General features: G+C 36.0%; 1 protein-coding gene and 1 long non-coding RNA gene across 5 annotated transcripts in view, besides 4 other annotated features; one reads left to right on the top strand and one right to left on the bottom strand.

Annotated features, from left to right (window-relative positions):
* MRPS30-DT (MRPS30 divergent transcript) overlaps positions 1-1,161 on the bottom strand; it is a 64,466-nt gene extending 63,305 nt beyond the window's left edge. For all 4 annotated transcript variants that reach the window (NR_109865.1, NR_109864.1, NR_109863.1 and 1 more), the window contains exon 1: positions 1,010-1,161. This is a non-coding gene — a long non-coding RNA (MRPS30 divergent transcript). The remainder of the gene's footprint in view (positions 1-1,009) is intronic.
* Positions 1,054-1,710: an enhancer, noted in NCBI's record as "NANOG-H3K27ac-H3K4me1 hESC enhancer chr5:44808788-44809444 (GRCh37/hg19 assembly coordinates)". NCBI's record gives its function as "activates a minimal SCP1, AML or CMV promoter by ChIP-STARR-seq in naive and primed H9 embryonic stem cells {active_cell/tissue: H9 hESC(naive and primed)}" and the evidence as "EXISTENCE:reporter gene assay evidence [ECO:0000049][PMID:30033119]".
* Positions 1,054-1,720: a biological region, named in NCBI's record as "NANOG-H3K27ac-H3K4me1 hESC enhancer GRCh37_chr5:44808788-44809444".
* Positions 1,241-1,720: an enhancer, noted in NCBI's record as "active region_22541". NCBI's record gives its function as "activates an Ori minimal core promoter by ATAC-STARR-seq in GM12878 lymphoblastoid cells {active_cell/tissue: GM12878}" and the evidence as "EXISTENCE:reporter gene assay evidence [ECO:0000049][PMID:35858748]".
* On the top strand, positions 1,315-7,882 carry MRPS30 (mitochondrial ribosomal protein S30). Its single transcript, NM_016640.4, has 5 exons — positions 1,315-1,931; positions 3,377-3,522; positions 4,283-4,388; positions 5,474-5,650; positions 7,281-7,882. The coding sequence occupies exons 1-5, from the start codon at positions 1,331-1,333 to the stop codon at positions 7,568-7,570; spliced, it is 1,320 nt and encodes a 439-aa protein (NP_057724.2). The 5' UTR covers positions 1,315-1,330; the 3' UTR covers positions 7,571-7,882.
* Positions 1,711-2,366: an enhancer, noted in NCBI's record as "NANOG-H3K27ac-H3K4me1 hESC enhancer chr5:44809445-44810100 (GRCh37/hg19 assembly coordinates)". NCBI's record gives its function as "activates a minimal SCP1, AML or CMV promoter by ChIP-STARR-seq in primed H9 embryonic stem cells {active_cell/tissue: H9 hESC(primed)}" and the evidence as "EXISTENCE:reporter gene assay evidence [ECO:0000049][PMID:30033119]".
* Positions 7,883-23,877: the final 15,995 nt, after the last annotated feature.

Consider the following 23,877-nt stretch of genomic DNA (forward strand, 5'->3'; position numbering starts at 1 on the left):
TTATGTCTTTTGGTGTTAATTGGTCTCTAGCTCTAATTTCTAATCCTAAAATCTATGCTGTAATACTATAAGAATTTAAAAAATATCAACCTAGGATTTCTATGATACATTCTCAAACAGCGTATTTATTACTTATTTACACAAAAAACTGTCACTTCAACTTAGATAAAATTGAGCACCTCACTTTTTAAATATTGAATATCGGTTTAAAGATCTCAAGTTTTTATATCCTCCTTTTGTTAACAATGTAGAAAGGATATTTTAGATTCCACTAGCAACTTCTCACAGAAGATATTATTAATGAAACTGAAGTATTGCATTTTATTTCTAAAGGTCAGTTTAATAGACTTGCAATTTCAAAGTTTAACCGTACCATCTGTTTTAACTTAAAAATATAGTTATAAATTCTTTTTAGCAACATTTGTGTTTTAATACCCTGAAGAATTATTACAATAAATCCAAATTAATATTCTGGTCCCTAATTACAGAAGAGTGAATCAATAAATTAGATTACCCGAAATGAGACTTTGGTGACTTCTTAGCAGATATTTAGTGAGCACCCATTATGCACAAGTATTGATTTGTTGCTGAAGATTAAAAATTAAATCAGTCCCTTTTTAAGAGGCTCACAGATTAGTAAGAACTCGTGTTTAATTTATAATGGGTTTTAATACAAGGCAAAATTTAAACACACTTCTTTGATAGTTTTATTTCCCTTTTCTTTCTGTCTTCCCCAGTTAAATCCAAGTAAAAATACACCCCCCTTTCAAAATAAATATCATTAAACAAATTGTCTGTATTTAGCACAGATAAATATATGGAATTATTTTCCCAAAGATGAATAGTAGGTCACGAGTGATGCTTGCATAATTTTTAAATATAATCAAATATACTGAAAAACATGCTAGTACTGTATTTCCAAAAGTAAGTTTCTATTCCTAGAACTAAAACAGAAAAGAAGTGTTGTGAGATACATAAATGAAGCCAATAAATTTAACCAAGGGCTTACCATTTTCCTGCAGGATGTTTATAAATAGTTCCTGGCAAAGGAGGTTGCCGTATAGGGTCCTACAAGTAACCTAGGTGGCAGCATCTCCTCCCAGCGTCAGGTCTAAGCACACAAGTTCTTCCTTCCATCTACAAACGCAGGAAACCACGACTGGAGAAGTTATATGATTGGCTAAACCATGAATGACGCAACATAACCCACGCCCACTGAGAATCGTCCTTTCCCAGACTGGCTCAGATTCCGCTTTCCGATTGGTCCCTACAGCAAGAGGGCAAGGACAATTGCTTAAGTTGACCTCTGGGTCCGGAATCGCGGGCAAAGATGGCGGCGGCCAGGTGTTGGAGGCCTTTGCTACGCGGTCCGAGGCTTTCATTGCACACCGCGGCTAATGCCGCCGCCACGGCTACAGAAACGACCTGCCAAGACGTCGCGGCGACCCCCGTCGCGCGGTACCCGCCGATTGTGGCCTCCATGACAGCCGACAGCAAAGCTGCACGGCTGCGGCGGATCGAGCGCTGGCAGGCGACGGTGCACGCTGCGGAGTCGGTAGACGAGAAGCTGCGAATCCTCACCAAGATGCAGTTTATGAAGTACATGGTTTACCCGCAGACCTTCGCGCTGAATGCCGACCGCTGGTACCAGTACTTCACCAAGACCGTGTTCCTGTCGGGTCTGCCGCCGCCCCCAGCGGAGCCCGAGCCCGAGCCCGAACCCGAACCTGAACCTGCGCTGGACCTCGCGGCGCTGCGTGCGGTCGCCTGCGACTGCCTGCTGCAGGAGCACTTCTACCTGCGGCGCAGGCGGCGCGTGCACCGTTACGAGGAGAGCGAGGTCATATCTTTGCCCTTCCTGGATCAGCTGGTGTCAACCCTCGTGGGCCTCCTCAGCCCACACAACCCGGCCCTGGCCGCTGCCGCCCTCGGTGAGCCTTGGATTCCGCCCCAGGGCGGAAGGGAGAGATGGGGATTGTACTGGGTTACTCTGCCGCAGATTTACCCCTCGTCATTTCTTTCTCTCTGCTTCGTTCATGTTTTCCTAGTCCTTTCGTTCCTATCTGGGGTGGCCTGGTTTTGTAACAGTCACTGCGTTAGGAATCTAGAGACTAGGTGTGTGTGGCTGCGCTAACACCTACCAGCTCTTCAACTCTGAAAGCCTGAGCTCTCCAGGATTCCAGTCCTGGATTCTACTTTGTGAGTGTTCAGCCAAATGGAAGAGCAGTGGTGATGAAGAGAAACGCCACTTAAGAGAGTGGGGCGGGCCAGGTTTCCTGTTGGCTGTTCCACCACAAAGCTGTGTGACCATGTGTCACATGGCTGAGTAGTAACTTCTTTTTACCTTAATTTTAAATTTAGTATGTCTTTTCTTTTTCTTTAGTAACTTTTTTGCTTAATTTTTCGCGTTTTACGGTAGTAGTTCTTTGTTGTAGAATTGTGAAGATTAAATGAAGTATTAACTAAGATACCTAACGTTTACTCAGTATTTATGTGCTAGGCCCTGGTTCTAAATTTTATATGTGCCAACTTATTAATGCTCACAATAACCGTTCACGATAGGTAGCAATGTTTTGGTAAATGAAAAAAAGACAAAAACGTAACAAACTGAGGCATAGAAACGTTAAATGTGTCTGCCTGACACCCTATAGCTAAGAGATTAGGGGGTCAAACTTCAAACTCCCATTCCAAGTTCCTAGTAAAAAATCAGCAGCTTCCGTGTAACTGTTCAGGGCGGACATGAAAAGTAATTAACGTATAAATAATTTTAAAAATTATTGTTTTTGACGCATTCATTATTTTATATCTTCTACCAAGTGTATGTCTTAATATTTATTGAAGTAATGTTAGGACTGTAGATGTGTGCTCAACCTAGCCTTGTTGTGTGCATGTTTTTTCCCTTCCCCAGTTGAGAAAGAAGTGGTCTTGAGGAAAGCGTCATGGACTTAGACTACTCCTGATGGATGGCCTAGAAAACCTGTTTAACTTTGTCAAGACCCAGGTTCTTCTCCTATAAAATAGAGATAATGAAAAGTATACATACCTTTGGGAGTTATTGTGAAAATTGAATTGGATGTTCATAAAATAGCCCTATTTTTATTTATGGTGAATGATATTCTTGTTAATCTTATTTTCTTTTATTACTCCTAATGAGGAATCTCTTTGGTTACTGTTCATTGTAATGATGGCACAAGTAGACAATAAATGTTTGAATGTTATATTTAAGTCATAATAGTTAAATTACCACATAACCCAGACTCTTACCTCAATCATTCCTAAGTTATCATTTGCTAAGTTAGTACTCTTTAGTGTTCTAATAGTAACCAAATTTATTTAGATGATCAGATGAAAAAAATTTTGAATATCTTTTTGATAGATTATAGATGCCCAGTTCATTTTTACTGGGTGCGTGGTGAAGAAATTATTCCTCGTGGTCATCGAAGAGGTCGAATTGATGACTTGCGATACCAGATAGATGATAAACCAAACAACCAGATTCGAATATCCAAGCAACTCGCAGAGGTAAGGATTTATTGCGATTATGTATCTATTGATATCTCGTGTAGGATTTGTCATAGGCAGGTTGAGTAATAGTCTTAGTAGAATAAAATGTTTCAGGTGGATCTCTTGCCTTTCAAGTTTCCTTTTTGAAGACATCACCTCTCAAAAATCTTTTTAGCTTTTTAAATCTGCTTTGGTATACTCCATAAAGGTCAGATAACCATTTTAACAATAACGGGTTAAAGTGTCATTTTGCCTGACCATACAGATCTATATGTTTCTCTTAATATAAAAATTCTGAAATAGTTTACGATTGTAATTTGTGATTGTAATTTACTAGACTAGTCATAAATCAAGGAAGTTTAACAGTTATCAACTGGGCCATTTTACATATTTGCAGTTCTTTTGGAGAAAAACAAGGATATTTTGAGTATTGTCTATGCTTTCATGTCAGGGGTTGACACACTTTTTCTGTAAAGATCTGGATAGTTAATATTTTGGGCTGTACAGGCCGTAAGTCTCTGTTGCAAGTGTTCAGCTCTGCTCTTAACAGTGCAAAGCGCCATACACAATTTATAAATGAATATGTGTCGGCTGTGTTCCAGTAAAACTTTACTTGTAAAAACAGGTGGCTTGCTCGATTTGGCCCATCATTCGATGATAGTATTATCAAATCATTTTGTGAAATCACCTCATTTTAAGATTTTTAAATCTAATGAGTGTGAGTAAAATACATACTAATGTTGCTGTGAATTTAGTATGTCTTTTCTTTTTCTTTAAGTTTGTGCCATTGGATTATTCTGTTCCTATAGAAATCCCCACTATAAAATGTAAACCAGACAAACTTCCATTATTCAAACGGCAGTATGAAAACCACATATTTGTTGGTAAGTTTCTCTTTTGACATATTGTACCATAAATGTGTTCCAAGTGTCGTATGCAAATTTGGAGTATTGACTACAATGAGGAATTAATTCTCGAAGACCGAGAGGTTTACATAGTCTATGAGCAATATAATTCGTAATCTCAGGTTATTACAACATGCATAAACACTGGAAAGAAAATATTAAGTTCATTATTTGAAATTTTACTTGTTTCTACCAAAATAGAAGTATTTAACTTTAGAAAATAGGCTTTGTTGACTTATTAGATAGAAAAATTAGTGTTTTTTTAAAAGTAAAAACTTTTAGAACTGGACTTGAGATAGCAATTGGCTTTTTTAAGTGTCCTATTTGTGCCATGCATGGTGGTAAGATAAGGAATTCACAAATTCATAATGTCTGATGTCTGCCCTCCCTCATGCAGCTTATTTTTTTGCAATTTTTTCTTCCTTTGTTAATTCCTACCCAATGTGAAGAAGTCTTAAGAAGGTTTTATACCAGCCCTCCAGACCTATTTTATCAGCCTTTTCTCAGTCACTGTGGTCTTAGGGAGTGACCTGCAAGGAACTTTTTGTTGAAAAGACTACCACTAGAATCAAGAATGTCAGCATTTCATGAAATGTTGCTACTTATTTTTTTTTTTTTTACTTAGAAAAGTAGTGTAAAAATGATTTTTAAAAATTAGGAGCAAAGTGTGTAATTATTTCATTAAATAAGTTATTAAAGTCTTGAAGTGGCTGTATCCTCTTAGTTAATATGACAAGGAGACAACCATAGCTAATCATGACTAAGGGATTTGAGAAAACAGATCATAGAAATTTTAAATAACTTGTCTATATATTCTTTCAACTTCTTCCATGTTATGATGGGCTTTATGATAGCTAGCAGATTGAGAAATTATGCTTTCCTGTGAAATTTAATTTTATTATGATCCATAAGATATATAAGTAAACTAATATTCCTACTTATGTATTTAGAGTACTGAGAATATGATGTATAAAGAAGGAAAAAAAAGGCTCAAATACTAAAACATGTGCTCCACATGTTCTACATGTTTGTTTCATCTGAAATGTTTTTATTTTGCTCTTCAGGCTCAAAAACTGCAGATCCTTGCTGTTACGGTCACACCCAGTTTCATCTGTTACCTGACAAATTAAGAAGGGAAAGGCTTTTGAGACAAAACTGTGCTGATCAGATAGAAGTTGTTTTTAGAGCTAATGCTATTGCAAGCCTTTTTGCTTGGACTGGAGCACAAGCTATGTATCAAGGTAAAAATTAATTTTATAGCATTTTCTTTGAAGGTATTTGTAACATTCTAAGAATATAATGGTTAAAATTTTTTCTTTGGGTTAAAACATAGGTTGAATCTTAACATTTTTAAACTTTTGCATTGGCACAAAGTACAGTTGTTTTAAAATCCTCGTTTAAATACTATACATTTGAAATCTGACACTGAGGTAGTTGTTTTTGTCTTTTACTTTGACCATCTTCTGTGTGAATGTACTTTTGCACACATTCCAAAGACTGTAGCCAACTAAGTCAACCCTTTCTAGATAATAGCTTTCTGCAGGTAGAAAAGGTAATGATTTTGTGGATTAAATATTTATATTACATCAATGGCTATCCTATATAATTTCTTTAAAGGTTATATCCAGGATTTGGATTAGGGGATTGTTCATTCATTCAGTAAACAGTAACTGCTTTTTTATATGCTATACTCTGTTCAAGATGCAGTGTTGAGTGAAACAGATCCTGCTTTCTTAGAGCTTATATTATAGTGGGGGTGTGGGGTGGTAAAAGATAATAAGCATGTAATGTTTATAACTAGTGGTAATACTATGGGGAAAATACTTTAGCCTAAAGAGTAGAATGATTTATAGGGGGGCAGGTATAAATGAGGTATGGAGAAGAATCTATTTTTAAAAAGTCATTCAGGAGAGGTCCCTAAAAATGACTTACTCTAAGACCTGAATGGCGAGGAGCTGCCTATGCACAAATCTGGGTAAAGACACTTCCAGGCAAAAGGATCAGCAAGTAAAAGTCCCTGAGGTGGGAACAGGCCTGAAATATTTAGGAACAACATGAAGGGTAATGAAGAGTGGGACAAGGAGAATGATGTAGAAGGAGACAGTGGAAGCCAGAGGCTATATCTTCCAGGACTATTAGAGCTCATTGTGGGGCATTTGGATTTTATTCTAAAACCTGAAGTAATGTAATATGAAGTAGATTAACACTATGTGAATATCCAAGAGGAATTTTACTACATATTTGATTACTAGGCTCATCTTTTTTTAACATATATATGTATTTTAACCTTATACTCAAAATTGACTTAGATTTATATAATAGAATTGAATAGAGGAAGTGGGAGTAGGAGTAGATGGAATTAGACAAAGTAAGAAGTAACTTTCTTGAAGATGGTAGAATGGCACTGTTTACTTTTGAAAGATAAAGTACTTCTTTTTACAATAAAATAAATTACATATGTCAACAGTATTACTCATTTGCTATCTCCATTAAAGATGACATAAAATACGTGTGGAGAAATAAAGTTACTACTTGGCCTTGGTAATTGGGTAATGACATAGTACCAGATGTAGAAAGCATCTGTGTAGATAAAGCTTGCTGCTCTTAGATGAAGTAAATAAGACTGATGTTGTTGAAAAAGATTAATCATGAGATTGAGGATACTAGAAGGGAGGAAAATATTATTTGTGCAGAAATAAAATATAGGGTTAGAATAGAGATGATAAGGAAACTTTGAGGTCTTCAGGGATTTTGTTACATAAAGTATCTAAGTTGTAGGAGGTATTTGATACCCTCTAATGTCTAATGTGATTGTTTTGTTTGGGTAAGATATATTCTATGTGTAAATTTCAGCATAACTTTCTTCTACAGGATTCTGGAGTGAAGCAGATGTTACTCGACCTTTTGTCTCCCAGGCTGTGATCACAGATGGAAAATACTTTTCCTTTTTCTGCTACCAGCTAAATACTTTGGCACTGACTACACAAGCTGATCAAAATAACCCTCGTAAAAATATATGTTGGGGTACACAAAGTAAGCCTCTTTATGAAACAATTGAGGATAATGATGTGAAAGGTTTTAATGATGATGTTCTACTTCAGATAGTTCACTTTCTACTGAATAGACCAAAAGAAGAAAAATCACAGCTGTTGGAAAACTGAAAAAGCATATTTGATTGAGAACTGTGGGAATATTTAAATTTTACTGAAGGAACAATAATGATGAGATTTGTAACTGTCAACTATTAAATACATTGATTTTTGAGACAAATATTTCTTATGTCAACCTGTTATTAGATCTCTTACTCTGCTCAAATTCATCACTGAAAGATTTAATTTTAGTTACCTTTTGTTGATTTAAAAATAATTGCATTTGTATATTGCTAACTGATAAGACAAATTGAGTTATTGAGCTATTAAATGCACATTTTAATATAAATGCAGAAATCCCAAATAAAATGCTAACATACTGAATTCAGTAATTAAAAGAACCCACTGCAGCTGGGTGCAATGGCTCATGCCTGTAATCGCAACACTTTGGGAGGCCAAGGTGGGTGGATCGCTTGAGTCCAGCAGTTTGAGACCAGCCTGGGCAACATGGCAAAACCCCATCTCTAGTAAAAATACAAAAATTAGCCTGTCCTGGTGGTGCATGCCTGTAATCCCAGCTAGTCTGGAGGCTGAGGCACAAGAATCACTGGAACCCGGGAGGCAGAGTTTGCAGTGAACGTAGATTGTGCCACTGCACTCCAGCCTGGGTGACAGAGCAAGACTCTTGTCTCAAAACAAACAGAAGAACCCACTACAGCAGGGTAGAACTAATCCATTCAGTAATGGACTAATGTTAGGAAGTAATGCTAATACAGAACATTAGTTGTTCAAAGGAGAAAAATAAGGCTTTGATAGAATTCTCAATCTTGGTTTTAAAAGAAAAGAAAAGATAGATATTAATAGGACAGTATAATGGTGAAACGTAAGGGATAACCCCATTGAAATCAAAGTAAGCTTTGAACTTCATATGCTTTATTTGCTAATCCATTCCAAGTGCCTAGATTCATAGAAGTAAGAAATCAATAAATGTTTGTTGAATGGATGTGAATTAATGAATTTAAGGTAGTCAACCTTTTTAGTTTGAGATCTAGTATATCTTCTCATTTATTTACTTTTTTTTTTTTTTTTTTGAAACAGTTTTTGCTCTTGTTGCCCAGGCTAGAGTGCAATGGCACAGTCTCAGCTCACTATGACCTCCACCTCCTGGGTTCAAGCGATTCTCCTGCCTCAGCCTCCTAAGTAGCTGAGATTAATTACAGGCATGCACCACCATGCCCGGCTAATTTTTTGTATTTAATAGAGACGGGGTTTTGCCATGTTGGTTAGGCTGGTCTCGAACTCCTGACCTCAGGTGATCCACCCACCTCGGCCTCCCAAAGTGCTGGGATTACAGGTGTGAGCCACTGCACCTGGCCTATTTACATCTTATTTCTTAGCAACGTTTAGAGTTTCTTTTATCTCCATGCATTTCCTGTGTATGCCTACATTTTTGTGTAATTGGAAATGGACTTTTTCTTTCCAATTATATACTTCTTTATAGTTTTTAAAAGTGGCTTTATATAGGTGATACTGATAGCTATATATTTATCTTGTAAAAGACCAATTTAAGTTGTTCATTAGAGCCAATAATTTGTCAGCTGATTCTCATGAGGTGTATATAACCAATCTGATTTGCGTTCTTCTGAAACTGCTTATCAAATAGATGGCCATTAGCCCCTAAATGGCAAAATCCACTGGACAGTTTTCTGTATTGTACTCAGTAAGGTCTGACATATTTTGCATGTTTGACCGCTCCTTCATTTTTAAAATAGTTTTTTTATTGCCTTCAGTGAAACATGCTCTTGGTTTTCCTCCTATCTCATTTGCTGTTCTGTCATATTTCTGTTTGCTGTTCTTCCTCTCACTTTTCTTCAAATATTGGTGTACTTTTTTTTCTTTTCTAGACTCCATTTTTGTTTAACCACACTCTCCCTAGATGATTTTATCAAATTCCATGGATTTAAATATATTTGTAAGCACATTCAAAATTAGTTTGATTTCAACCTTGTGTTTTGTATCTGAATGATAAGCATCAGCATTATAACTAAACAGACTGTGTGGTTAAGATTATGGACAGTTTTTCCCTCTAGTTATCTAATTTTCATAATTACCCCCAGAACGTGAGAACATTATTTTTATGATCAGAAAGTATTTTAAGAAACTAGTTGAGTGGACTCTAATATGGAACCATCAACATGTATCAAATTCCACTTAATTATAAGCAAATTCATTATGAAATTATATTTAAAAAGGCATTTCATGATTACATTTGTTATTTAAGAAAATGTTATTTAAAGAAATTTACATAAGTTTCATTATACATGTATTTTAGCTTACTCATTCTGGAAATGGAAAACTTAGATACTAGGCAAGAAGGCTTTAGATTTTTTTTATGAGATATTTTAATAGACCAGTACTTAGGTCTTAATATTTGTGTTTTTCAAAAATTTATGTTAAAATCCTAACCCCCATGACTATAGTATTAGGAGATAGGGCCTTTTGGAAGGTGACTGGAGAGGGGCAGCACCTTCAGGAATAGAATTAGTGCCCTTATAAAATAGACCCAAGGGAACTTTTTCATCCCTTACACCCTGTGAGAACATGATGAGAAGGCACCATGTATGAGCCAGAGAATAGATCCTCACCACACACTGAATCTGCTGGTGCCTTGATCTTGGACTTTCTAGCCTCCAGAACTGTGAGAAACAAATTTCTGCTGTTTATAAGCTGTCCAGTTAATGGAATTTTGTTATTGTAGCCCAAATATACTAAGACAACAACCAATATAGTTAAAATTACTATGCATGTTCTACTTTATATTAAGTTCTAGTGTACGTTGTATAATGCTTACATCAAATAAAAGGTAAGGTTAATTTACATAAAACATGTTTAGGTAGGATAATTGTAAAAATTATTTATTAGAGAAATTGGTAAAATTGTGGCTTTGCATAGAGGCAGGAGAAAGAAAAGAGCAAGGCACTAGTGAGAAAAATTGCTATGGAGAATATTGAGAATAGATACAAGGAGACCTACAGGTTTACAACATTAATATTGGCCAATACTTGATTGGACAGTTTAAATTTTTCAACCTGAAAGGCCTTTGTGCCCCAAAGTTTGGTAAGGAGATTTTGTAAAAACAAACAACAATAGCAATAAAAAATCAGGGAAGATTAAGAGATTTCATAAGGAGCAAGAATTTATAGGTAATACTTAAAAGGTATAGGTATGATTACTATTTTGGTGAATAATAGGCACATGGTAGACTGAAATTCGGCAACAGCTACTGTGCAAATAAGCATATCTGTGATTATGGCTTATATCTGGTTGGGGACCCCTGTTGTAAGCCATTCTTTTTAGTACAGGTTAAGCTCCATTTCTCAATCACAGTTCTGTTATTTTCATCTGTGGGAAATAATGAATTCTGTTTCAGATTTTGATTGTCTTTTGTGTTCTTTGTCATCCAACAGAATTGCACATTTCACTTTGTAAAATTTTTATAACTAGTGTTTGACACTTGAAACTGGCTTTTGAGTCTTCTATAATAGTTTGTGCAGAAGTCTGAGGTTTAATGTTATGATGGCCTTATTCATACTGTAGAAATATATACTGCAGCAATATGCACCCAAATGGTCAAATGGTCAGTAAGCTTTTTAAATGAACTAGCTAGATTTTTAGTTTTGATTTTAATTCTTGGTTTGAATTGCTAAAAGCTATCTTGACCTTAGGAAAATGAAAGCTTACATGAGGTTTAGCCACTTAAAACAAAGTATTTCTTTGTGTCTCCAGTTCATGTGAAACCTGACTTTTATTTACAATATTTATGTTAGGAGCACTTTTATTAGGATCTTTTGAAGCCTTTCAAGAGTTTTCTTTCAGTTATTATTAATAGTACTAATAAAGAAGGTGAGCAGGATTTAAAGCTGAAAGGAGCATCAGAGATAATTGAACTTTGTTTATGCCATTCATTGTTACCCTATGCAATGTCTTTTGTTTGTTTTTAATTAATTGCCAATATTTAAGAAGAGGGTCATAGAACAGTCATTATTCCAGATTCTCTTGAAAAACTGGAAGATCTGGCAACTACAGGTTTATGTTCTTGCATGTTAACAATATACAGGGGCTGGAATTAACCTGCTCTGAGTCCCTTTAGATGTGCATACTCTCTCCGATTTGCCACAGTTCCCACCAATTCTTATTTCTCCTCTCTTTACTTGGCCCACATCATTGGGCCTATCTCATTAATTTCTATTAAATATTTTATTACTGAGGCCATTAGTTTATGACCCCTGAGGCCAAGACAGCTGTTAAGAACTTGCATTACTGGTGGCAAAATTATACCTTTACGATTACTTACTAGGTTTTAGAAATCTCACTTTTCTAACAAGAGGTATTATGGTAATCATAAGTTCAAAATAATTAAAGTTCATTTGAGATAATTAAATCAAAACCTCTAGTCTGGGTTGGAGGGTGATAAAGTTATCTGGCGAAATATATGAACTTCTGTTACCTTCCTCTTCTGCTAAATGAATGGTAAAATGAATCCTGATTTGTTTAGGCAGTTTACTTATGAAGTTGGGAGAATTTTTTTTTTTCTTTAAAGGACTGAGTCTGGCTCTGTTGCCTAGGCTCAAGTACTGTGGATCTTGGCTCACTGCAGCCTCCACCTCTTGGATTCAAGCAGTTCTCCTGCCTCAGCCTCCCGAGTAGCTGGGAGCCACCATGTCCAGCTGATTTTTGTATTTTTAGTAAATGAGTTTTCACCATGTTGGCCAGGCTGGTCTTGAACTCCTGACCTCAAGTGAGCTGCCTACCTGGCCTCCCAAAGCTCTGGGATTATAGGTGTGAGCCACTGTGCCAGGCCTGAGGTTGGGAGAAATTTTGTCCATTTCTTTAGAACCAAAATTGGCAACCAGAGAGTATTTGGATGTTACACAAAATATTTAGTTTCCCTTTCTAGCCTAAATTGGGTTGTTTATAGCACCCGTCTCTCCATTTGAGAAAAATGGTTAGGATGCTGGTGCAGGGATGAGGCCTTATTAAAACAGAGAAGGTACCCAAATGGTGGTTCAAACACAGGCTGGCTAATAAGCTGTGAGGTGACTTACCAAAAAACAACAACAACAAAAACCCTTGAACTTCTGCTTTCAACTTCTACTTTATGCTAGATTATTTGGTCCAATCTTCCTGGTCTAACACCTGGCTACATATAACAACAAACATCTGCTTGAATGTGTTGGAAAGGTGATGATTAATTGCCAGGCTGATATATTAAATAAAATGGAAATCTCAAAAGTTGAACTTGCTATTCAGTCTGCTTTTGCTCTGGAGGGGGGATTTGTTAGCCAAGAAGAGGCTGAAAACATGAGTAGTGTACTTTGGGAGACTAGAAGGACGAACGTTAAAAGTATACGACCTCCAAGGTTGTGACTCTGGTAGAATTCTTTGGTTAGAGATCCTGAAGGACAGCATCCTAGGGATAATGGTGAAACAGAAGTAGACCATTCACATAGAGTGTAGTTTAGCATTAAATCATCAAGGTGGATTAGTAAATTGTGAGATTTTGGAAGTGGACTAAGGTGACCTTAGGTTTCTAATGCCCCTAGGAACCTGAAAGATAGAAACCTGGAGGAAGAATATTTTCCTAGGCCTCAAATTATTTGGGTACTTTTTCAAATACAGTATCTCCACATACCCTGGATACAGGAGGAGAAAGGCGGAATGAAAACTGGCAGAAACAGTAGACCCAAAGGGGCACCAAATAATTGCATTGTGAGGTAGACTTTAAGTATGTTTACTGTATTCAAGGAGATAAAAGATGGAAAATTTCCATATAGAATTGGAAACTATAAAAAAGTCACTGCAGATTTGTTAAAAAAAAAAAAAAGCCAAATATAAATTTGAAAACTTGAAAAACCAAACAGTGAAAATTAAGAACTCCAAATGTGTTAGTTATCTATTGCTGTGTAACATACTGCTCAAACTTGACTTAACATACGTTTATTATCTCAGTTTTTGTTGGTCAGGAATCCAAGCATGGCCTAAGTGGGTTCTCTGCTTTAGGCTGCAATCAAAGCATTGGTCGGGGTAGGGTCTCCTCTGGAGGCTGAGCTGGGGAAGGATCTGCTTCAGATTTATGTAGTTGCTAGCAGGTTCTTGGACTGAGGACCTCAGTAGCTTCCTGGCTGTTGGATGAAAGCATTCTTCAGTTCCTTGTCCCATGGACCTCTCCTTTAGGACAGCTTACAACCTGGCAGCTTGCCAGAGGGAACCTATAGAGCCCATAGAGTGAGTCTGCTAACAAGACAACTGAAGAGAGAAATAACCAAACTGAAAATGAGAAAAAAATATTTAGAATTAATGTCTTTGTAAACTTTGACTCTATTACTCTGCCATCACCAGTAAGGGGGAATTGAAATATACCCATGCTGGGAAACAATGGAAGTAGTGTGGAGAAAAGTATTAAGGATATATTTTAATTGAATGTAGGAGCTTAGAAATAAGGACAGTATTAGGGAAGAATGGATTATTAAACTAGATATTTAGGAATCCTCTTCATACTTATTCAGGACACCAGTGGGTACCCAATCTGTACTGGTTTTACTGATCTTTGTGCAATTTGCTGCTCAGCAGATATTTTCAATGCTGATTGGTAATATGTCAGTGGATAACCAGTGGAAATGCATGTCTATTAATTACTATTGCACATAATATTTATCTTGTTTTTATATTTTGCACAGGATTTTCAAGGTGCTGGTATATTTCTGAGCACTGTAAAGTTTTCTTTGAGAAATAAGTGTTTATTTTTAAATTGCGTTGTCTCATGGGAGGGTAACATTTGTAAATATACTTCAAATTAGTGTTGTTCCCTCTGCTTTCTTTTTCCTGACTCAGAAACAGAGTGCTTTGACTGCTCTATGTTGGGGCCATGTTTTCCGCAGACTTGAACCCAAGCCAGGCCCTTGAATGTTCCCAGGCACGGATAAACTTGTTTAGACTGGCTGAAACACCAAAACATCAAACGTGTTGCTAAACATGTAAATACTAGCCCCAACCCTGAACCCAATTCCTTAAGCCCCCATATAAACTCCATATCCGATTCCCCATATCTAGGTTAGAACGTCTCTTTTCTCCCTGTCAATCATGAGGACTAATGCAGCACACAATGTATACAGTACTAATAAAGGCTTTGGACTTACCACTTCCTTCTTTGAAATCCCAACTGGTCGCATCTTAGGTTGGTTTGGGGCAGTCCCTTGTGGGAACTCTCCTGCTATTCTGTCTGGTTTTGGGCCTTACTGCAGTTGTGGTTTTGGGTGGTTGGAACAAGCATATATTTCAATAAATACGTTTTTTAAATGTCCAAAAAACAACATGACACAACTGCGGGTCGAGAGCCAGTTTTAGTTTGTCCCATAAGCTTTCTGTCTTTGTTCAGTTTAGTTACAATGGAGAAAACCTCTTTAATGTTGACAGGATTTCTTTAGAAAAAAACCATTGCTATATCTGAAAGTCCAGTTTCAACTGGCAAAATTGGACAAAAGCAGCAATTTGAAAAACCAAGCTACTTATAACTTGATAAAGTCCTCTATAAACTAAGTCATTATATTTCTCCTTTTAAATAAACCATTGTAAATTTAATGTTCATATCAGTTGAGTATTAGTTTCCAGCTGGATTCATGCTGAATAAAGTCCAGAAACTTTCTTTGTGATTCAAATAGATGCACAGGAAGCTGGGAAGGAAAAGAAAAGCATATGGTGAGTAAATTTCTTAATGCCAGGTATTACATTAACATGAAAGCAGCCAACATTCAGCATTCCTATTCATTTGGAACTCAATGAGAACGTTGAGTTACTTATCACTGACTACTTAAGGGGACATTTGCCTATTTATTTACAATGCTTTGCAGAAGTATCCAGTAACATTTATGAATTTATTTGTATATATCAAATATTATCTTATGTTCTAATGAATTTTATCCATTTCAGGTAGAGAATGGATTATTCTGAAAACTAGATTTTCATATAATTTTGTTTTTAGTTTCATTTTCATTTTTAAAATATAAGATTTTTGTTATTGCTATAAAATACATGATCATTACAAAAAATCTGAAAAACAGTAGGGAAGATAATCTCACGCTGTTAACGTTTTGGTATATCTTTTATCTATAGATTTTTGTTGATATTTTGTTTTTCAGGTCATACTATAGATAAAGGTTTTTACATTTGTATTTCATAATCACTTTTCCTCATTATACATTTCAGTATTCCATAAGTAGTCTTTGGGGGTATTTTGTAGATAATTGAATATAAAATTATTGTAAAATTAAACACTAACAAATACATAAACATGAAATTTTCATCAGTTCACACTCATTACAGGGAGAAAAGGAATCACAACTTTTTTCTATTATTAAAAAAACCCAAGCATGATAATTATATAAGATTAGCTAATGTGGGTGTAAATATATTTCATGTTGGAATAGTTCACAAGTACACAGATGATTAAATCCTGACTTCCAATATATTTGCAAGATTTCCATATCTTACCACCTGGGTGTGATTCATAATCAGATAAATAAAGGATCTGTGTATTTGGAAAGCCTTAAAAGAAGGAAAAAATATCTATATAATTATCCTCTGGTAAAGTATACTTTGTTTCAACCTAGAGTTTTAAATGCCATTTGAAAGAACAATTCTAGAAGAGTTCTATCAGTCTAATTCTCATGTTACCTGAAAATATAAACAAGTTTAAAGTCAGTTTGACAGTTGAATCTGAAAGTCTAGATTGAAGTCATGCTTTAGTCATTAGCTAAGTGACTTAGGACCAATAAATTTTTATTGAGTTTAGTTTCTTCATCGAATATATTGAGTGGATTGGATAAGAAGATATTCTAAATCCCTCCTAACATGATGAATCATTCCTTCTAAGCTTCTCACTGCAGATGTAATTTGCCATTAACACTAATTTTTTAGCTTTCTTTTTTAAAACTCCTGTTTCCAAATGACAAAATAATAATATTCTTAAAGAGCTAGAGAATTAAGAGAGGTTAGCGTGCCCTTTCGCTGAATTTCCTCAGTTGCGATATTTTTCTTTCATACTGTTTTCCACCATAACAATATCCCCTGAGGCTAGACTCATATACTTTTAGAATAAAAGGAAATTTCATTATCAAGTGGAACGAATGATTCAATGCTCAAATGTCCTCTCAAACACTTGCACCAAATATTCAGTTCCCTCTGTGCTTGAAAGATAAAGATTTATTACCTCCCAAAGCTGCTACTTTTCCGGTTTGAACTATACTGATTATTAGACAATGCTTACTGTGAGTTGAAATCTGTTTTCTGGTAGCTTCTCCTTCATCTTAGCTATACCTCTTTTTTTGTTGTTGTTTTTTAATTAAGTTTTAGGGTACATGTGCGCAACGTGCAGGTTAGTTACATATGTATACATGTGCCATGTTGGTGTGCTACACCCATCAACTTGTCATTTAACATTAGGTATATGTCCTAATGCTATCCCTTCCCCCTTCCCCCACCCCACAACAGGACCAGTGTGTGATGTTCCCCTTCCTGTGTCCATGTGTTCTCATTGTTCAATTCCCACCTATGAGTGAGAACATGCGGTGTTTGGTTTTTTGTCCTTGCGATAGTTTGCTGAGAATGATGGTTTCCAGCTTCATCCATGTCCCTACAAAGGACAAGAACTCATCATTTTTTATGGCTGCATAGTATTCCATGGTGTATATGTGCCACATTTTCTTAATCCAGTCTATCATTGTTGGACATTTGGGTTGGTTCCAAGTCTTTGCTATTGTGAATAGTGCCGCTACAAACATATGTGTGCATGTGTCTTTATAGCAGCATGATTTATAATCCTTTGGGTATATACCCAGTAATGGGATGGCTAGGTCAAATGGTATTTCTAGTTCAAGATCCCTGAGGAATTGCCACACTAACTCCTACAATGGTTGAACTAGTTTACAGTCCCACCAACAGTGTAAAACTGTTCCTATTTCTCCACATCCTCTCCAGCACCTGTTGTTCCCTGATTTTTTACTGATCACCATTCTAACTGGTGTGAGATGGTATCTCATTCTGGTTTTGATTTGCATTTCTCTGATGGCCAGTGATGATGAGCATTTTTTCATGTGTCATTTGGCTGCATAAATGTCTTCTTTTGAGAAGTGTCTGTTCATATCCTTTGCCCACTTTTTGATGGGGTTGTTTGTTTTTTTTTTTGTAAATTTGTTTGAGTTCATTGTAGATTCTGGATATTAGCCCTTTGTCAGATGAGTAGATGGCAAAAATTTTCTCTCATTCTGTAGGTTGCCTGTTCACTCTGATAGTAGTTTCTTTTGCTGCGCAGAGGCTCTTTAGTTTAATTAGATCCCATTTGTCAATTTTGGCTTTTGTTGCCATTGCTTTTGGTGTTTTAGACATGAAGTCCTTGCCCATGCCTATGTCCTGAATGGTATTGCCTAGGTTTTTATGGTTTTAGGTCTAACATTTAAGTCTTTAATCCATCTTGAATTGATTTTTGTATAAGGTGTAAAGAAGGGATCCAGTTTCAGCTTTCTACATATGGCTAGCCAGTTTTCCCTGTACCATTTATTAAATAGGGAATCGTTTTTCCATTTCTTGTTTTTGTCAGGTTTGTCAAAGATCAGATAGTTGTAGATATGTGGCTTTATTTCTGAGGGCTCTGTTCTGTTCCATTGATCTATATCTCTGTTTTGGTACCAGTACCATGCTGTTTTGGTTACTTTAGCCTTGTAATACAGTTTGAAGTCAGGTAGCGTGATGCCTCCAGCTTTGTTCTTTTGGCTTAGGATTGACTTGGCAATGCGGGCTCTTTTTTGGTTCCATATGAACTTTAAAGTAGTTTTTTCCAGTTCTGTGAAGAAAGTCATTGGTAGCTTGATGGGGATGGCATTGAATCTATAAATTACCTTGGGCAGTATGGCCATTTTCATGATATTGATTCTTCCTACCCATGAGCATGGAATGTTCTTCCATTTGTTTGTATACTCTTTTATTTCGTTGAGCAGTGGTTTGTAGTTCTCCTTGAAGAGGCCCTTCACGTCCCTTGTAAGTTGGAATCCTAGGTATTTTATTCTCTTTGAAGCAATTGTGAATGGGAGTTCACTCATGATTTGGCTCTCAGTTTGTGTTATTGGTGTATAAGAATGCTTGTGATTTTTGTGCATTGATTTTGTATCCTGAGACTTTGCTAAAGTTGCTGAAGGAGATTTTGGGCTGAGACAATGGGGTTTTCTAGATATACAATCATGTCATCTGCAAACAGGGACAATTTGATTTCCTTTTATCCTAATTGAATACCCTAAGTATTTAGGAATCTTCTCCATTTCTTTTTATCAGGTCAAAGTACATAAGTACATATTTTAGGGTCTTCTGTTCTTGAGGGTTTTTTTTTTGTGTTTTTTGTTTTTTCTTTTCCTATTGGAGGTTTGACACCTATATTTTTCTCTGACATTTTGGAAATTTGCTTCCCAAAGTCAAAAACATAATGCCTAACTTTTCCCGATTTGGCCAACATCAACTTTAAGATTCTGTGGTTATCTTTTTACCAAGAGATTTGTCAGTTTTACTGCCCCAGTCATTTCCTTTTTACTGATTAGAATTAGGCCTTTGTGTAGCTGTTCACCTAATTACTTCCTCTACCTTGTGAAAAAGAGCAGGGACGCTAACATTTGCTGGGTACCTACTACATGCCAAAAGTACTTAATCGTATGCAGTAATGTCATTTAATTTTCAAAACAACTCTCCAAAGGAAGTGTCACTCTCCTTGTTTGATTTCTTGCTTCCCAAATGGAAGGTCCTTTGTATTAATAGTATCTGTCAAATTTCATACAATACTTAAATATGTTCTTGATACGTACTTCAATATAACCAACAGAATGAGGCAGTATTCGATAAAGTAAAAAATAAGATGAATATTTCTAGTGATTTATAAGTTACTTGAGGAAATCATGCTGTTTATTCTTTTCCTTTTTAGGTATTCTTTGTGAATTTGCTATTTGTGTGTGAATATATCTGTTGCGATAATGAATAACCATATGAAATGGATAATTGTATGAAAATTCATTTGTAATTCAATAGATTGCCAGGGATTTTAGGTTGGTTATGAAGGTTTGTTTTTTTTTTTTTTTTCTTTTGGAGAGTGGGGAGATTGGCATACAGTTTCAAATTGTTTATGTGGAAGTTGGAAGTGTGACTAAGCTCGAAGAAAGGAAGAGAGGGACAAAGAAAGGGAGGAGGTACCCCTAAGTGGGAACCTACCAGGACATTCAAAGCAAGAGCAGTAAGTTCTGAATGTTCTGGGACAACCTGGGTGATATGCATGGATATGGGCTGTGGAGGCTGAGCATTTTAATGATAACTTAGGGAAACGAGGCATGGCCATGGTGTAAAACTCTCAAATCCCAAGCCCTAATCCAACCTTAAAATCCGAGTCTTCTAAAGGGCTGTTTTAACCATGAAAGGACCATAAGAAAGGCAATTCACAGAAAATGAAGCCATGTGGCCAAGAAATATAAGAAAAACAGTAAAAGCCCTTAATCTCAATAGCAATAGAGTGGATGCAAATGAATATAATGAGTTGCCATGTCGTTCTTACTGGATTGGAAAAGAAATTAGAATGTCTAAATAACATGTATCATCCAGGATGTGGGGAAATGGGAGCTCTTGTACCCTGCAGGCAGGCATTTAAATTGGTGCAACCGCTTTGGATTGCTGCTTTGTAGTATCTGGTGCAACTGAAGATGAACATGCCCTGTGACACAGCAACCGCACTTCTAGGTCAATACCCTAATTATATTCTTACTGTGGTTCACAAGAAGGTATGTAAGAGGTCATTGCCTGAGCACTGTTTAGAATAGGGGCAAACTGGAAATCCTCTAAATGTCTGTCAATGAAGGAATAGATAAATTGTAATATGTTCATATAAAATGCTGCATAAATAAGTGAAATTTATAAATATACTAACGAATGAATCTTGAAAACAGAGTTGGGAGATAAAAGCAAGCTGTTGAAGAACATGGTCAGTATCCTCTCACTTATGTAAGTTAAAAACTCCAAAGAACATTATCTATATTGGTAATGGCATAGACATGTGTGGTAAAATATAAAAATATTAACTAAAAGTTCTATACGCTTCAGGATATTGTTAGTATAATAAGGCAGGAAGTGGATAGCATTGGGGTGAGACAGTGGTTTGGTGGTTATGTTTGGTTACTTTAGTTATGTTAGTAACATTTTTTTTTTAAAGAAGGATCTGGAATAATTATGGTAAAATAATAGTATTTGCTAAGACTAGATGATTGGTGTACTGGATTTCATCCGCTATTTTCTAAGTTTGTTATGAACGCTTAAAATATATATGTATGTAGTAAAATTAATGTAAATTTGTACAAATAAAAATAAATGGCATGTGATATATGGCAGAAGCTGTGTGTGTGTATGAAAAGCAAAGGCAGGCAGGGCAAGTTTCTGGGTAGCATAAACATGGAACAATCCTAGGAATATGAAATTGACCTAAATATACCAGCTTTCTGGAGATTCCACAGTCCCAGATGATTGATGATCTAATACAATTTTCTAGTTTTATTGATAATAGGAGCAAGAAGGGTTAAGTGACTTTCTCCAAGTTGCACATACATAAGTGGTAGAGCTCAGTCTAGAATCCAAGTGTTCTGAGTCCTGTCCAGTGTTGTTCTTCCTACATTGCTGCAAATGAGTCCTTCATGTATAGCTCATGACTTGCATAAGGTAGATAATTTTGTGAGCTGTTCTTTACAGATTCCCTTTTATTTTATATTCTACGAGGTCTATCTATAGCAAAAGGCATTTAGAAGTGGTGTTAATATTAGCATGCCCAAAGTAACTCTGAGATGATATCATTTACTTCCATATGGGAATTTTCCAGTTAGTATCAAGCTTGAGATTCAAGTGGAAATTAGCTTTCAGGAATTTTTGCAATATAAAATTTATTATGTGTTGACCTACTTCTGTGTACCAAGCCAGGCTCAAAGTAGTAGTACAAGTATGTTGCTATTACACCCAAAAATAAGTTATCTAAAAGTTCTCCTGTTGTCTGTATTAACTACCTGATCTTTTGGATTAAAAGATTGATAGACAGTATTGTTTCTTTCTAACTATAGTTAGGAAAAAAGGAAGTGTTCAAATTAGTTTATTACAATCCAGATCATCTTATCTCTTCCTGACAACCTAGATAAATCTATTTGTGACTAGCAAAATGGAACATTTTTAGTGCTGTCAGATATTTTGTAGAACCACATAAATTTTGTGGAGAAGTGGTTATATTTTTAGTAAGGGAATTATTTCCTCTGGAAAAAAGCACTGAACATGGAAGCATTAAAACAAGTGACAAGGAATGGAGGTCATTTATTGTACCCATCCTCTCTGTCCTATATAATCACTAAGCATTCCTAGGGGATAGAGTACAAATCTGGGTATTGGGAAATAGATTCTTGCTATTTTGATAATTCCACCTATATCAGTTATTTACAATATGTTATTTCTGCATCTGAAAAAATTGATTTTAATAGTAAATAATCCAGAGATACAGAGTGAGTTATTAATTAATGCTTATTAAATATAGTATCTACAAGTCTTCAGTATTAATGTTTCACAATTTATAATGGTAAGATGTCTGCAATGGAGAGATATTGGACATGGGGGAAAGTAACAAAACATTTAAGCAGGAACTGGCTTTAGTGGGTAATTGGGATCAGTATTGAACCTATACAGTGGAAGAGTGACATAGCTTGAATGATATGATTTGGAGGATACAAAGGCCTCTTGAAGGAATAGTTTGTTTCTGTTCCATAATGTCTGGGGTCTCAACTGGTAAAACTCAAATGCTGGGAGTGACTCCATACCTAGGGGCTGGGATCATCTGGAGCCATCTTCATTCACAGGTCTCCTATTGATACTGGCTCTTGGCTGGAATCTCAGCTAGGGCTAGTTGACCAGAGAACATACATGTGTCCTCTCCATATGGCCTGGGCTTTCTTATAGGATGGTGGTATTAGGGTAGTTGGACTTTTTACATGGTGGCTTAAGACTCCAAAAGCCAATGCGTAAAAAGATCTAATGGGGGTTGCAAGGCCTTTTCTGACTTAGCCTCAGAAGTTTCGTAGCATCTCTATTGTAATCAATTCGTCAAAGCAATTACAAGCCCACCAAGATCCAAGAGAAGGGGTATAGACCCCACTTCTTGATGGCAGGAATATCAGAGAATTTTGGATGCATGTTTAAACCAACATAAGCTACGTGGGTTGAAAGTCACCAAAATCAGAAAGGCACTGTCTGTGAAAATCACTGCCTGTGAAAGGAACTTAGCTCTAACTAAACCGCGGCTGCTGCTGGCAATCCAAGTGTTGCTCTAGAGATTTATCTGAGGTTCTGGCTCTTGTTTCAGGAAGCCCTCCTGAAACATTGATACCATTACATTAGCAGGGACAATAAGGACCCTCACCTCAGGCTCATTACAGGCTTTCCATTACCACCTAAAAGAGAGCAGCAAAAATTAGGGGCTTCCTGCAAGCTTACTTGCTTGTCATCACATCAATCTACTAAAATATTCAATGTCAAACTACTCAATTATCAATGTATGAAAAAATTTTTCAGGTGTAAACACTACTTTTAGTACAATTTTAAGGAATCTCCTTCCTTAATGTAAGTCTTGTTATATAATATGGTCTTCTAGGAGTACTATTTTTGCTTATATGTATACCAATGTCTTCATGCTTGGCAGTAGGAGAAGAGAAGGGAAGTTGGGGCGGAAAAGAGTAGTGATAAGAGAAGATATAAAGCTATTTTTAGTTTTAAATTAAATCCACAAAGACTAAATTTGATGAAGGTGATGGGGTGTTTGGAAACATCCAAGACATAATGGTTTTTCAGAGGATGGTTTTCATATTCTTTATATTCAAGTTTACTTTTTCCTAATAATAAAAAACATAAAGGAGTCAAATATTTTTAGATGCCTGTGGATTTTGAGAATCTTACCTCACTCCAGGTTTATTTCTGAGCTCTATTATTCTTTTCATGTATATGAGGCAAATACAATTAAAATTTAAACATAAAATACAGTGTTGCTGCTTTTGCTGTAACACATAAAGTAAGCATAAATGAGTCTCAGTTACACAAACATAAAAATAATCATCCATCCAGGAAAGTAATTTAAAACAAATTATAGTCAGGGAACTGAAACTGATACTTTTAACTGTTGATATAAAATGTGAATTAGATTGTAAAAACTCAAGAAAATAATTATTATAAACTAGGTATATATGTGTGTATCTGGAATGAAAATTTGTAGAAATAGATAAAAA

The sequence above is a fragment of the Homo sapiens genome, chromosome 5, assembly GCF_000001405.40.
Source record: "Homo sapiens chromosome 5, GRCh38.p14 Primary Assembly".
Lineage (NCBI taxonomy): Eukaryota > Metazoa > Chordata > Mammalia > Primates > Hominidae > Homo > Homo sapiens.